The sequence below is a fragment of the Homo sapiens genome, chromosome 5 (assembly GCF_000001405.40).
Source record: "Homo sapiens chromosome 5, GRCh38.p14 Primary Assembly".
NCBI lineage: Eukaryota > Metazoa > Chordata > Mammalia > Primates > Hominidae > Homo > Homo sapiens.
In genome coordinates, this window is record NC_000005.10 from 43,087,079 (window position 1) to 43,102,738 (window position 15,660).

Sequence of the window (15,660 nt, forward strand, 5' to 3'; positions counted from 1 at the left end):
CTCCTCACTTCCCAGTAGGGGCGGCCGGGCAGAAGCGCCCCTCACCTCCCGGATGGGGCGGCTGGCCGGGCGGGGGGCTGACCCCCCCACCACCCTCCCGGACGGGGCGGCTGGCCAGGCAGAGGGGCTCCTCACTTCCCAGTAGGGGCGGCCGGGCAGAGGCGCCCCTCACCTCCTGGATAGGGCGGCTGGCCGGGCGGGGGGCTGACCCCTCCACCTCCCTCCCGGACGGGGCGGCTGGCCGACCCCCCCCGCCGCCTCCCTCCCGGATGGGGCGGCTGGCCAGGCAGAGGGGCTCCTCACTTCCCAGTAGGGGCGGCCGGGCAGAGGCGCCCCTCACCTCCCGGACGGGGCGGCTGGCCAGGCGGGGGGCTGATCCCCCCACCTCCCTCCCGGACGGGGCGGCTGGCCGGGCGGGGGGCTGACCCCCCCACCTCCCTCCCGGACGGGGCGGCTGGCCGGGCAGGGGGCTGACTCCCCCTCCCCCCTCCCGGACGGGGCGGCTGGCTGGGCGGGGGCTGACCCCCCCACCTCCCTCCCGGACGGGGCGGCTGGCTGGGCAGAGGGGCTCCTCACCTCCCAGTAGGGGCGGCCGGGCAGAGGCGCCCCTCACCTCCCGGACGGGGCGGCTGGCCAGGCGGGGGGCTGATCCCCCCACCTCCCTCCCGGACGGGGCGGCTGGCCGGGCGAGGGGCTGACCCCCCACCTCCCTCCCGGACTGGGCGGCTGGCCGGGCGGGGGGCTGATCCCCCCACCTCCCTCCCGGACGGGGCGGCTGGCCGGGCAGAGGGGTCCTCACTTCCCAGTAGGGGCGGCCGGGCAGAGGCGCCCCTCACCTCCCGGACGGGGCGGCCGGCCGGGCGGGGGGCTGACCCCCCCACCTCCCTCCCGGACGGGGCGGCTGGCCGGGCAGAGGGGCTCCTCACTTCCCAGTAGGGGTGGCCGGGCAGAGGCGCCCCTCACCTCCCGGACGGGGCGGCTGGCCAGGCGGGGGGCTGATCCCCCCACCTCCCTCCCGGACGGGGCGGCTGGCCGGGCAGGGGGCTGACCCCCCCTCCCCCCTCCCGGACTGGGCGGCTGGCCGGGCGGGGGGCTGACCCCCCCACCTCCCTCCTGGACGGGGCGACTGGCCAGGCAGAGGGGCTCCTCACTTCCCAGTAGGGGCGGCCGGGCAGAGGAGCCCCTCACCTCCCGGACGGGGCGGCTGGCCGGGCGGGGGCTGACCCCCCCCACCTCCCTCCTGGACGGGGTGGCTGCTGGGCGGAGACGCTCCTCACTTCCCAGACGGGGTGGCTGCTGGACGGAGGGGCTCCTCACTTCTCAGACGGGGCGGTTGCCAGGCAGAGGGTTTCCTCACTTCTCAGACGGGGCGGCCGGGCAGAGGCGCTCCTCACATCCCAGACAGGGCGGCGGGGCAGAGGTGCTCCCCACCTCTCAGACGATGGGCGGCCGGGCAGAGACGCTCCTCACTTCCTAGATGGGATGGCGGCGGGGAAGTGGCGCTCCTCGCTTCCTAGATGGGATGGCGGCCGGGCAGAGACGCTCCTCACTTTCCAGACTGGGCAGCCAGGCAGAGGGGCTCCTCATATCCCAGACGATGGGCGGCCAGGCAGAGACGCTCCTCACTTCCCAGACGGGGTGGCGGCCGGGCAGAGGCTGCAATCTCGGCTCTTTGGGAGGCCAAGGCAGGCGGCTGGGAGGTGGTTGTAGCGAGCCGAGATCACGCCACTGCACTCCAGCCTTGGCACCATTGAGCACTGAGTGAACGAGACTCCGTCTGCAATCCCGGCACCTCGGGAGGCCGAGGCTGGCGGATCACTCGCGGTTAGGAGCTGGAGACCAGCCCGGCCAACACAGCAAAACCCCGTCTCCACCAAAAAAAAAACGAAAACCAGTCAGGCGTGGCGACGCGCGCCTGCAATCGCAGGCACTCAGCAGGCTGAGGCAGGAGAATCAGGCAGGGAGGTTGCAGTGAGCCGAGATCGCAGCAGTACAGTCCAGCTTCGGCTCGGCATCAGAGGGAGACCGTGGAAGGAGACCGGGGAGAGGGAGACGGAGAGGGAGACGAGAGGGAGGGGGAGGGGGAGGGGGAGGGGGAGAGGGCTTGTTAGAGAGCTTGTTATCTCTTATATGGAAATTTTGTTAAAAAATTTGTATCTCTATATCCGTATATTATTAATGCTAAAGCTAATTTTAGTAAAATTATGAACAGGTCTATCTAACCTCAATTAGTTTTGACCACAGAAGATAAGATTTGTATAAACCTTTTATAACCTTTTATAATTTTTTAAATTTAGTTTTATCTGTTATTAACTATTAAAAATTTAAAACTTTAAAACAAACATCTAAACTAAGCTAGGTGTGGCAGCTCACACCTGTAATCCCAGCACTTTGGGAGGCCGAGGCAGGAGGATCCCTTGAGTCCAGGAGTTCAAGACCAGCTTGGGTAATAAACTGAGATCCCGTCTCCACAAAAAAAAATATTTAATTACCCAATTATGGTTGTGTGCACCTACAGTCCCAGCTACTTGGGAAGCTGAGGCAGGAGGAACCCTTGAGCACAGAAGTTTGAGGTTATATAGTGAGCTGATAACACCACTGCAGTCCAGCCCAGGCAACAGAATGAGACCCCATCTCGAAACCCTCAAAACTGAACAACATTTTTCTTACCAACAACTATATTTTTATGTCTTTTTAATAACCTTTTTTTTTTTTTTGAGACTAAATCTTGCTCTGTCACCCAGGCTGGAGTGCAATGACACGTTCTCGGCTCACTGCAACCTCTGCCCCTCGGGATCAAGCGATTCTCCTGCCTCAGCCCCCTGAGTAGCTGGGATTACAGAAGCGTGCCACCACACCCAGCTAATTTTTGTATTTTTAGTAGAGACAGGGTTTCGCCATGTTGGCCAGGCTGGTCATGAACTCCTGACCTCAGGTGATCCACCCACCTCCTCCTCCCAAACTGCTGGGATTACAGGCATGAGCCCCTGCGCCCTTGCCAATCTTCTTTATTTAAAACATCTTTTTTGTATATGTTGCATATAGAAGTGTTTTTGTGTATGTTGTATATATTTTGTATATAGAAGCATTTTTTGTATCTAGAAGGCTTTTCTTTTCCTTTTTTTTTTTTTGTGAAATAGAGGATCTTACTCTCTTACTCTGTTGCCCAGGCTGGAGTACAGTGGCATGATCATAGTTCACTGCAGCCTAGACCTCCTGGGCTCAAGCAGTCCTCTCACTTCAGCCTCCTGAGTAGCTGGGACTACAGGCATGTGCCACCATGCCTGGCAAATTTTTTTTTTTTCATAGAGACAAGGTTTCACCATATTGCCCAGACTCATCTTGAACTCCTGGGCTAAAGCAATCTACCAGCTTTAGCCTCCCACAGTGCTGGGACTACAGGCATGAGCCACCATGCCTGGCCTAACCTAGAAGTTTTAATTATACATAATAATTATAATATTAATGCTTAATAACTCTGATTTTTAGTGAAAAATCAAGGAAATAAGTAATTTTAACTGTTATATACCAGATGTAGAGACCAATACAAAGGAAAGAGCTCTCAAGACAGTCTCTGTAGGACCTGATTTCTCTCAGCATGGCCAGGAGGCACAGCTGGACTAGGGAAAGTGAGGCACAGGTCATGTCCCCAGTCCTCACAACGGCCACTGGTCTAGGCCACTGGTATGGGTCTCTCATATATATATATGGCTTGAATATCAGCTTTTAATTAAGCTGACTTCTGACCATGTAGCTCTTTTTTAATTAAAAAAATCTTTCAAAATTTCTTATTATCAGATTTTAGCTGAGACAAACAGCTAACATTGCTGGCTTTTGAACTTTTTAACCAAAGACACCCTACATAACCAAGAATGCATGAGGTGTCTCCAAAGAGGCACAAAGAAGTACTCACAAGATCCAGAACCAACTTCAAAGATAGCTCAAAGAAGTAAGAGTTTTGCTAATCACAAATGGGGTATAATTTGTATCTGTCTGATTATATTCTCTCTAGGGTCTCAGCTTCTCATCTGGCCATCACAAAGGCCCAAAAAGCCCCATGTGCCCTTACAGATGGAAGACAATCAAAAGCTGTCCATGGAAAGGAAAAAGATGAAAAACAAATGAGTACCCCCAAAAGTAAAAAGTCACATGATTATCAAACCAAAAGGGGCTGATTCCCTGCCCAGGAGTCAAACCCAGGCCACTCTGGTGAAAGCAGAGAATTTTATCTAAACTACAAGGTGGAGCAGACTACTTAGTGAATCTTGAATGGGATCCAAAGTAAGGAGTTTGAGCTCATAAAGGGTTTTAACTTTGTTTTCAGTTAGGGGTTTGCTCTTTAATTTTGTCAAGAGAATTTCTAAGGCTAGCCATGACACCATTGTATGTCTTTCTTTTAATGTAATCTTCCTATAAATACAAATAAGGCAATTGTTGAGAATGAGAGATCTTTAAAAATGTTTTTTGAGTTTAGGAGTCTTTCTAATTTAAAGGATCCATCGTCTGGACATTGGAAATTAGAATTTCCACTGGTATACTTAATTCAATGCAACAGCCTCTTCATTGGAAAACCCAAGATATAAATTTCTAGGTTTAATGTAAGTTTTTATCATTTAAGAAAAAGATGTTTCTTGAAGAGGCATAGAAGTGGCAATCCTAAAGAGTCTCTCCCTCAAAAATTTACTCCCAGGAATAGGCCAAGATAGAAAGATTCTTATTGCCACACATGGTTAAGGATGCTGTTTGTGCATACAGTGCCTCTGGTGACTTAGAAATTTGTGGGGATCACCAGTCACAGACCTCTTAATTTGTGACACCAAGTAGGCTCTTTTAGGATAGGACTTTTCTAGCACTAACCAGGCAACAAGGGTTGAGGCAACAAAAACCCTGTAGAGATGGGACTTTTAAAGACAAACTACCTCAAGAGCTTGACACATTTGGAACAAAAAGTGTATTGCTTCAAATCTTATATGACTCTGGTTCCCAGCCATTTTCAGACTGGCCACCAGACATGATCCAAAAATCATGCCACCCAAATGATGGAGACAGAGAGTGCTCCCACTTGGTCACAGGTCAAGCTCAAGGACATAAAACAAGACAAGAGGGGAACCTCATCCAGTTTTTATTTTGGAAACCCACAGCAAAGTTTATACGCTGCTCTGATCACAATCAAAACTGACCAGTTTTCAGGGTTGGCTTGAAAAACGGGCTTATAGGAGGTTTAGGCCCATGTTCCACCCTATGGTGTCCTTCTTTATCACAGAACAACACAAAAAGACAAAGAAGAAAACTGTTTCTGGGAGGAGAAAGACCAAACAATACGAATATTCATACCAAACAGTACATCAGAGTTGTTAGACCCACTACTAGCCACACAAATTTTTTTCTCCTATTAATCAAAATTTTGCAGAGGAAAAAGAGACATACAGTGATTTTTGCCATCCACTTGACTGGATTCCACAGAGAGAGACCGAGAGCCTGGTTGGTAAGAAAATCTTACCTTTCTGCCATCTAGTCAGGTCCTAGGTTCCCTTCACTGCAGTTTCCAGAACAGCAAAGAGACTTTGGGATCCTGCTGACAGCACCAAAACTGTAGAAGCTAAGGGAATATTTCCCTTCCTCCTCTGAAGGTTTGATGAAAAATCAACTGACAAAAGGCCAATTACTAGGGGAGATGGCATAGAAATTTACTAGCATGCATTGGGGGAAAGTCACAAGTGATTACCCTAACAATGGGGTATGAATGTTTATATACCAATTTAAGGTTACCAGAAAGAATGGGGGCTTAAGTCTGGCTACATCAATACAGGTTTTCTCTACAGATGAAGGTCTCCCTCATAAAACACAGTTTTTAGGACTACTTCTGTTTGCAGGCCCTCTGAACCACTATCATGAAGTATGTCAAACAAATAGATTTTGGAGTGAAATGTTTTTATTTCCTCAGGAAACCAGCCCTAACAACTCTGAGGCAAGAAGAGGCTTCAGGACTGGATATGGGACTTAGGTGACAGAAAGTCTCCTACCTCTTCAAAAGCACAAACATACTTTATTTCTGTTAAAGAAAAAATGTAACACAGTTGTTAGGATGGTAAAGCAGACTTCATTCAGCATTATTGCCATAGGTGTACTTTGCAGTAGAGGATTGAGATTGGGATCAGCTCCTAATACAAGGAAAATAAGGGATTTACAGCCAAAGACTGAGAGGTAGGGATGGAACGTGGGGCAGGACAGGGGTTAGTGAATGGAAAATTACTAAAAGGATACGTTAATTTTTTCTAAAGTGACCTAACAGTATTCTTGCTATAGGCAGACCAGGGTGATCAGATATCAATTGGAGAATAAGGAATGTGGTCAGATATCGAGGGCGAATCAGATATTGAAGATAGGGGATGCTGGCTAAAACTGGGCTCTTGAGGCAATGTCCAAGGTCCAAGCATAGGTGGGAAAGGGGTGAGGAGACTGTGTCTAGGGTTTGGTCAAGGAGGGTCTTTGTCAGTCCCTTCTACTTCACTCTGTAAAACCCCCTAGTAATTTTATTGGAACCTTAGGGAAGGTGTTACACAAACACAATTTAAGCTCAAGGTTGCCAGGAGATTTTGACCCCTTCATCCTAGAAATTCATGTGGTGGCCACTGTGATGAAGGAAACCCACATATCCTGGAAGAGGGAAGGCCTTGCCCATTTCTCACAAATCTGCTCATCCAGAATTGGCCTCACCAGTTAGGAGACTCAATTCATTTGGACCAATCCTGTCTTTCCACTAGAACTTTCCTGGCTCTACTTAAGCCCATTTTCCCCAAATGTGCTCTTCCAGAATTGGCCTTGCGAAGTGACTGCTTGGTTCTCTCTGCTTCTTCCTCATGCATCTTCCCAGTTCAGCATAAGCCACCATACTGATCCTAGGTTGACCCTTCTTCAACACCTGGAACAGCATCCAGGAACCTAGACAGAGGTCAATTTGGAGATTTGTTTGGCATCCTGGTCCCCACCCAAAATTGAGGTCCTAGCTCTGCAAACCACCCCCAGAGTACTCTGGTATCTCCATCCTGCACTCCTGGCTTCTCTTTCCATTCCCAGCTTTCCTATGGTGCAGGAAGGTGCCTCCCCTTTGGCCCCACATCCCCAGTAACTTACTTGAGACAAAGTTGCAATGTAAAAAGCCATGTTTGCTCATTTCCGTTGCCAGCATAATTTCACAAAGCCCCTGACTCTGTGATGATGTCCTTCTGTCTGGGAGAATGCTTTAAAAACAAAACAGGGGCTGGGCACAGTGGCTCATGCCTGTAATCCCAGCACTTTGGGAGGCCGAGGCAGGTGGATCACCTGAGGTCAGGAGTTTGAGACTAGCCTGGCCAACATGATGAAACCCCGTCTGTACTAAAATACAAAAATTAGCCAGGCATGGTGGCAGGTGCCTGTAATCCTAGCTACTCGAGAGGCTGTGACACAAAAATCACTTGAACTCGGGAGGTGGAGGTTGCAGTGAGCCGAGATCGCACCACTGCACTCCAGCCTGGGTGACAGAGTGAGAGTTTGTCCAAACAAACAAACAACAACAACAACAACAACAACAACAGGCAGGATACAGCACATTGCCCCCCACATCTCCTGTCTGAGTCACTATGTTCCTTAAAAGATAAATGAGCCGGGCGCAGTGGCTCATGCATGTAATCCCAGCACTTTGAGAGGTCAAGGCAGGTGGATCACCTGAGGTCAGGAGTTCAAGACCAGCCTGGCCAACATAGTGAAACCCCGTCTCTAACAAAAATACAAAATTTAGCTGGGCGTGGTGGTGGGTGCCTGTAATCCCAACTACATGGGAGGCTGAGGCAGAAGAAACGCTTGAACCCGGGAGGCAGAGGTTGCAGTGAGCCAAGAGCGCGCCACTGCACTCCTGCCTGGGCGACAAGAGCAAAACTCCATCTCAAAAAAACAAACAAACAAACAAAACACATAAATGAACTCAGTCCTTGCACATAATATGTGACACATATTTTCCTACACATAATATGTGACAGGGTTAGTGATTATGCTCTATAATCTATAACCAGATGTACTCTTGCACCCAAGCATTGATGTGATTCTGCTTTAATGTAAAATCTGAGCAAGTTTGACGTAAGTTCTGAAGGCATACTGAAACCTCCATGACCTGTATATAAGTTATGAGCAGAAACGCTGTTTCTAAGCAGTCTGCAAAATCTCTCTAAAAGACTCCTCCAGGGCTGTAAGTCCTCAGTCTGTAGTCCTCAGAAAGACTTCTAAATAAATTTAAATATTTAAAAGCTTGATTTTTTTTTTCTTCAGTTGACATTAACAAAGATTATCTCCTTGACCAATCTCTAGACAGGTTCCTGGGAGTACTCTTTACTAAGCTTCAACCTTGGTCTATAAAGACTTGAAAAACACTAACACAGTGTCTTACAGCTCAAGGCCACAACTCTGGGATGACCCTAGCCCTCCTTTAGATGCCTGACTGAGAAAGATCAAGGCTACAAAAAGAATATACTGTGTGTTCGAGGCAAGACCTGAAAATAGGGCTCCTGTCTCCCAGCCTCTGTGGGAGGGCAGGAGCCTAGCTTTGTTTAGCCCCAGTTAGGAGACTCAGTTCATATGGACCAATCCCCCCTTTCCACTTTCTATAATTTTTCACTTTCCTGTTTCTACGCAGGTCTTCCTCACTCACACACCTCCCTATTCCCTCAGTCTCCCTTTAAAACACCCAGTCACCTCTATACCAATAAAAGTTGTGTTCATGCTGGACTCCTCCCTATTGCACCAAGGGCCATGCACCTGTCCTGGCCCAGGCCCGGCCACCAGCTCCTCTGCTCCCTGTCCTTCCTCAGCAGCCAAACCAGAAACATGCATGGGTAAGAATTTTGCATTTTTGCACAGTTTTATCACGTGGGCAAAAACACATGTGCAAAGTTCTCTGCAGGCACGATCTCTACCATTGTGTTTGAGCAAACCTAGAGGTGTCATGGTAGCAATACCTTTTGGCACAGGATCACCCATTGAAGAGTCTCAGTGAAAGAAATCTCAAGGAGGCCAAAGGCAGGTGGCAGAGGCAGCCTTGCATCAACTCAGCCACTGCTCCTGGGCTCTACTCCCAACAAGACTTGGAACACTGGGTGGTGGCTGTTGGGAGGCAGGAGGAGGGTGATGCTTGGTAGGTCTCCATCATCTGATTTCTCAGGCTCCAGTTGTCTGTTCCTGGAGCAGGGTGATCCAGCCAAGTGAGGCAGTTAGGGAGTGCATTGGCAGGGCTCAAGGGAGGCTGTGACTTGGGGGCATCTCTGGGGGCATCTGTGTCTCCTCCTGGGTTGCAGTCATCGGTTCCTAGGTGGGTGGTTCTGTGCCCAGCCTAAAGGTGCTAGGCACTCTGGGTTCTTGTCTCAGGTGGGCCCATTTCAGAAGTCCACAGGAATGGGAAAGCAATTCAATGTCCTGGTGGTCCCAAGAGAGGTGACCCAGCTTTGGATAGAAAGCAGGCTGCCAGGGACTTGAATCCTCTTGTACACTGGAACATGCTCTACAGAATCCCAGGCCTCAAGCACAAGTTGTTGAAAGTGCTTCACATCTGTCCTGTTTCAGGTGACAAAGGATGAGTGCCCTTTTTTGTGGTCTTCTGGCTGATTAGGCAGTCCCAAGCAGATAGGGGCAAGCTGGGTGGTGACAGGAAGCCCAGAGCTGATCGCAACAGAAGAATGGCCTGGTGTTATAAACATAAAAGCCAATCACCTTTGATGAAATTTTCTAGAATGAAATCCTTTTGGTGACAGACTGGGTTAGAAGTTGAAAAGAAGAGTATTAGCTTCCTAGAAGGAAGCTCTTTTGGGGGACACTGGCTTGTAGTATGCTGCATGATTTGGGGCATGATTATTGCCCCAAATCACGTAGGTAGTTCTGAAACCCAGGTCTCTTAGCAGAGGAATTCTTGGGGAGATGCCTAAGGAATGGTTTGGGTTTTGGATTAGAGGTGGGGCAGAGATAGTTGTACATTCCTAACTTGGACTTTCACAAGCCCAGTTTTGGCTTTTACTGATGAATTGCTAAGTTAGAAGGATTTCAGAATGTGTGTGTATATGTGTAATAGCAAGAAGCCAAGTTCTCTGGCTGGCTGACTCGGTTATTTTATCATCTCTGAAATGGAAGTGAAATTTGCTCTCATTTTACAAGGTAGCTTTCATGAAGGCATTCCATATAAAAGTGAATATTCAACATAGCATAGCAGAAAATAATTTGGTCAATTGCTATTAATACTAATATCATTATTATTGATTTTATCATGGATTCAAAGATAAAGTAATGAGAACAAATGTAAAACGGTACCTTTCTTGGAGTATTCTGTCTGAAAGTAGATTATGTTTCCTTCTCATATCATAGCCATAATGAAATTGTATTGTAATACGTTTTCATCTGAGTCAAACATTCTGTTTGCAAAAACATCAAGGGGTATGAGAACTAAAAATAAAATCCTAAGGCCTCCAACCAATTGAATGGACCCTCTATTGGCCAAGGGGACCCCAGAGAAACCTGAGTTCCTAGCTATGACAAGACAGGAGGTCAGACATAGCTTGTTATACCTACTCCCTTTTGCAGTTTAAACATGACTGACTAGCATTATTATTACAATAGGGATCATGAGACTGACAGAACAGACTCCTTATAGCATTAAGACACCAAACTATAAATGAGACCTAAGGCTGTGCCAGGCAAGGGTTGAATCACACATCTCTACACTTAAAAAACAAATTATGTTCTAACTACCACAAGGTTTTTTTTTTTTTTTCTAGCAGCTAATCAAGCGCTGGCCTCAAGATAATCACTATTAAAACCATTACAGTTCATCCATCGCCAGACAGTGACTAACTGAGGCCCTTGTTCCACAAGCTATAAATGCAGCTTTGATTGGACAAGAGACTGATTTCAGTAACTTTCTCCTAATAAGAAGACCACCAGCATGCACTGTTCACAGAGGCTGTGCACTTGAGTGCCTTCGTGTCCCTGTTTCACCTTTTGACATATATGGCCTAACTGTAATACATTTGAATGTTGTCTCCACCCCAGAATGAATATGGGCTGTATGTAACAGGCATATTTATTCAGTACACATGCATTAGGAACACATTCATGAATATTTATATGCCTCCTGTAACCTGTTGAATACGTATACTTGGTCAACCCATTCAACATAAATCCCTGTTCCACCCTCCACTTCCTCAAAGTGCCTGCTTCTGTCTTTGGCTGGGGACTACACTTTCCAGCCTGTCAGAATAACCACCCTACAGGCCATAACACATTATAAGAAATAAAATTAAGTCTGTGCATGGTGGCTTACATGTGTAATACCAGCACTTTGGGAGGCCAAGGTGGGCAGATCACTTGGGGCCAAAACCAGCCTGGAGTTCAAAACCAGCCTGGCCAACACGGCAAAACTGCGTCTCTACAAAAAAAAAAAAAGAAAGTTGTCCGGGGACAGTGACTAACACCTGTAATCCCAGCATTTTGGGAGACTGAGGCAGAGGGGTCACCTGAGCCCAGGGGTTTGAGACCAGCCTGGGTAACATGGAGAAACCCCATCTCTACAAAAAGCACCAAAATTAGCCAGGCATGATGGCACATGCCTGTAGTCCCAGCTACTAAGGAGGCTGAGGTGGGAGGATCTCCTGAGTCTGGGGAAGCTGAGGCTACAGTGAGCCATGATTGTGCCATTGCATTCCAGCCTGGGTGATAGAGTGAGACCCTGTCTCAAAAAAAAAAAAAAAAAAAAAAAAAGAAAAGAAAAGAAAAGAAAATCTCCTTTCTAAATTAATAATTGTGTGATTCTTTTAAGTTGACAGATACAAATGCAGATTTTTTTGGTCAAATATCATTCTTACTGTAAAAGTCTGATTAGTTTCAACATTTCACAAGCATGTGTTGATATCCTTCCATATGCCAGATGCGGTGATGGGAGCCATATACACAAAGATGAAGGACTGGCTACAGCTTTCACAGACCTTACAACCTACTGAGAGAGCAAAGACACAGTGAAGAGATCATTCAGAATACAGTCCAACTCCAAGATCATTGGGAGAGCTTATTTGAAGACCAGAAAGGTTACTGAACATGGTGACTCTCTTCAAAGCCAGACCTTTGTCCTTGAATTTAGGGCTTCAAAAAACAATAGTAGGGCCGGGCGCAGTGGCTCATGCCTGTAATCCCAACACTTTGGGAGGCCAAGGTGGGCAGATCACCTGAGGTCAGGAGTTCGAGACCGGCCTGGCCAATATGGTGAAACCCTGTCTCTACCAAAAATACAAAAAAAAAAAAAAATTACCTGGGCTTGGTGGGGGGTGCCTGTAATCCCAGGTACTCAGGAGGCTGAGACAGGAGAATTGCTTGAACCCGAGAGGCAGAGGCGGCAGTGAGCCGAGAACGCGCCATTGCACTCTAGCCCGGGCGACAAGAGTGAAACTCCATCTCAAAAACAAAAACAAAAAGAAAAACAAACAAACAAACAAACAAAAAAACAGTAGAAAACCTAATGAGAAACCATGGCACAGGAAAACAGAATAGCAGAACGGTCAGAGGAAGCATAGCACTAGAAGTTTACCTATTTGAAAGATTTATGAGACACTTAAGACAGAAGAGCTCTGCCTGTCTGGTTAAAATGGTGGGACAGACAAGATTTATTTGAGCTCAGCAGCACTTGAAGTCCACTGGAGAGGTGTAGAGCAGCTAGCCCATGTTATGGTTGCAATGGAAAAAAGTCAATAGGGTGAGAATCAAGAATGGATCCATCTTGTGGATGATGACATCATTCAGCAACAAGGTACAATTGCTACAATAGAGGATCATATTTCCAAGCCAGGTCCAAAGAGGCATCAGGGCTGTCAAGCTTAGGTATAAATGTTGACAGAATCTTCCTTTGGATTACCTAAGGCTCTGAATTTCTGGGAAGATCTTGATGCCCTCTAACCCCAGCAAATTGATGCTAGCTATACATTGAATCTGACAGTGGCAGCTCAAACAGATTTTAAACACATCTTGTATGTATCCATTCATACACATTTACATATTAAAAACATGTCTTCAAGTTTGAGCTTTCTTGGTGTATCTCAGGTACCTTTTGACATGGTTCTCTTTTTATTGTATGTACTAATAGAGTGAGAACCTACTTATTACTTGGGGGCTGCACCAAGCCATTCATGATAGCTCGACCCCCATGACCCAAACACCTCCCTTTAGGTCCCACTTCCAATATTATCAAAATCTTTTTTATTTTATTTATTTATTTATTTATTTATTTATTTTTTGAGATGGAGTCTTACTCTGTTGCCCAGGCTGGAGTGCAGTGGCGCGATCTTGGCTCACTGCAAGCTCCACCTCCTGGGTTCATGCCATTCTCCCGCCTCAGCCTCCCAAGTAGCTGGGACTACAGGTGCCCGCCACCACGCCTGGGTAATTTTGTGTGTGTGTGTGTGTGTGTGTGTGTATTTTTAGTAGGGACGAGGTTTCACTGTGTTAGCCAAGATGGTCTTGATCTCCTGACCTTGTGATCCGCCCGCCTCAGCCTCCCAAAGTGCTGGGATTACAGGTGTGAGCCACCGCGCCTGGCCTTTTTTATTTTTATCAAGACAGGGGTCTCTCTGTGTTGCCCAGGCTGGTCTTGAACTCCTGGCCACAAGCTATCCTCCCACCTTGGCTTCCCAAAGTGCTGGGATTACAGGTGTAAGCCACTGCTCTGTCCCGAACCAAATTTCAACATGAGATTTGGAGGGGGACAAATATTCAAACAATATCATTGAGATTAAAAATTATTAGAGAAGTTTCAGGGTTAGAGCCATGCTTCAGTTTAATCCTCAGTATAAGAATTATGTAGAACTAAGACAAAATGATGAGGAAAAGATTGCTAGAATAATAAGGAATTGTTATATATCATGGAAATATTGACACAAAACTATCAAAAATAATTGAGGGCCGGGTGTGGAGGCTCATGCCTGTAATCCCAGTACTTTAGGAGGCCGAGGCAGGTGGATCACAAGGTCAGCAGATTGAGACCATCCTGGCTAACACGGTGAAACCCCGTCTCTACTAAAAATACAAAAAATTAGCTGGGTGTGGTGGCAGGCACCTGTAGTCCCAGCTACTCAGGAGGCTGAGGCAGGAGAATGGTGTGAACCTTGGAGGTGGAGCTTGCAGTGAGCCGAGATGGCGCCACTGCAGTCTAGCCTGGGTGACAGAGCAAGACTCTGTCTCAAAATAAATAAATAAAAAATAATAATTATTGAAGCTGGACGTGGTGGATCATGCCTGTAATCCCAACACTTTGGGAAACCAAGGCAAATCTTTGGTTTCTGATGACCCAGAAGTGTAAAAGTACAAAACTGGAAGACTATTGCATCCTTCTCCTCACTCTCAGCACAGATGTATTGTTTCACCATCTAGGAGCTTGAAGCTTTGAAGGACTGTAAGTTTATCTGCATGCAAGAGCAGAGATCCCAGGTTACTGCCTGCCTGCACAGGACAGAAGTCTGGACAGCTTCCATGTGCTGAGTGATACTCAGAGAACACCCAGTTTTGCTAAGATGGGAACTACTCTGTGTGCAGGGAAATGACTGGGACTCAGAGACTTTCTCATTGCCATGAGCATTTTGGAAGGCTGTCCAGACAGGCCTGTCTGTGGACAGATGTCCCAGTTTCAAGTGCCTTCAAGGGAAGTGAGTGCTACAAACAATGTGGCTGAGTGAGACTAAGAAAAGCCAGAAGACACAAGAGCTGACAGACATGAGAGACTAGGGTCATGTTGTCCATATGGACAGGGATCCTGGAACTCTGCCCTTCTCTAAAGGCTTTTCTTTCCTACTTAACATCCTGCCCTCTCAGCACTGGTGCTATAGCCACCAGCCTGCCCAATGCTGAGTTCTTCTTACTGCACATGCCACCTCTTGGATATCTTTCAAATCATGTATCCCATTTTATTTCCAAGGGCTTAATCATTTTGGAATTTGCAGTTGCACTCTAACTTATTTTTTCCCAATCCTTTATTGAAAAGCACATTTGAGCCAGGCGCAGTGGCTCACACCTGTAATCCCAGCTCTTTGGGAGGCCGAGGCGGGCGGATCACAAGGTCAGGAGTTCCAGACTAGCCTGGCCAACATGGTGAAACCCCGTCTCTACTAAAAATACAAAAATTAGCTGGGCATGGTGGCAGGCGCCTGTAATCCCAGCTACTCGGGAGGCTGAGGCAGGAGAATCGTTTGAACCCAGGAGGTGGAGGTTGCAGTGAGCTGAGATACCGCCATTGCACTCTAGCCTGGGCGACAGGGCGAGACTCCACCTCAAAAAAAAAAAAAAAAAGGAGAAAGAAAGAAAGAAAAAAATGGCCGGGCGCAGTGGCTCACACCTGTAATCCCAGTAGATTACAGTAGTAATCAGTAGTAGAAGAAGTGTGACAATTCTAAATAGATCTAGAAGCAAAGTTCTTTAGTACATTAGTACATGTCATTCATGAAGAGAGTTTTTCTAATTGAAAAATCTTTAAGTCATTCAGAAGAATAAAACTGAAAATGTTTCCAATAACTGAGCCCTAGAAGCTCTTAGGTCTGAAGGGTTCAGTCCCAGTGAAGTCCACAAGGGCAATATGAGGGCCCTCACTGGGGTGTCTCTGCATGGGGA

At 47.6% G+C, this 15,660-nt stretch overlaps 2 long non-coding RNA genes across 2 annotated transcripts in view; one reads left to right on the top strand and one right to left on the bottom strand.

Moving 5' to 3' along the window:
* LOC100506639 (uncharacterized) overlaps positions 1-6,480 on the top strand; it is a 26,536-nt gene extending 20,056 nt beyond the window's left edge. Inside the window, exon 3 of the long non-coding RNA NR_102752.1 lies at positions 5,945-6,480. This is a non-coding gene — a long non-coding RNA (uncharacterized LOC100506639). The remainder of the gene's footprint in view (positions 1-5,944) is intronic.
* On the bottom strand, positions 5,107-10,415 carry LOC124900972 (uncharacterized). Its single transcript, XR_007058762.1, has 2 exons — positions 10,330-10,415; positions 5,107-9,709 (listed from the first exon to the last, which is right to left on the bottom strand). It is a non-coding gene; the product is annotated as an uncharacterized LOC124900972 (long non-coding RNA).
* Positions 10,416-15,660: the final 5,245 nt, after the last annotated feature.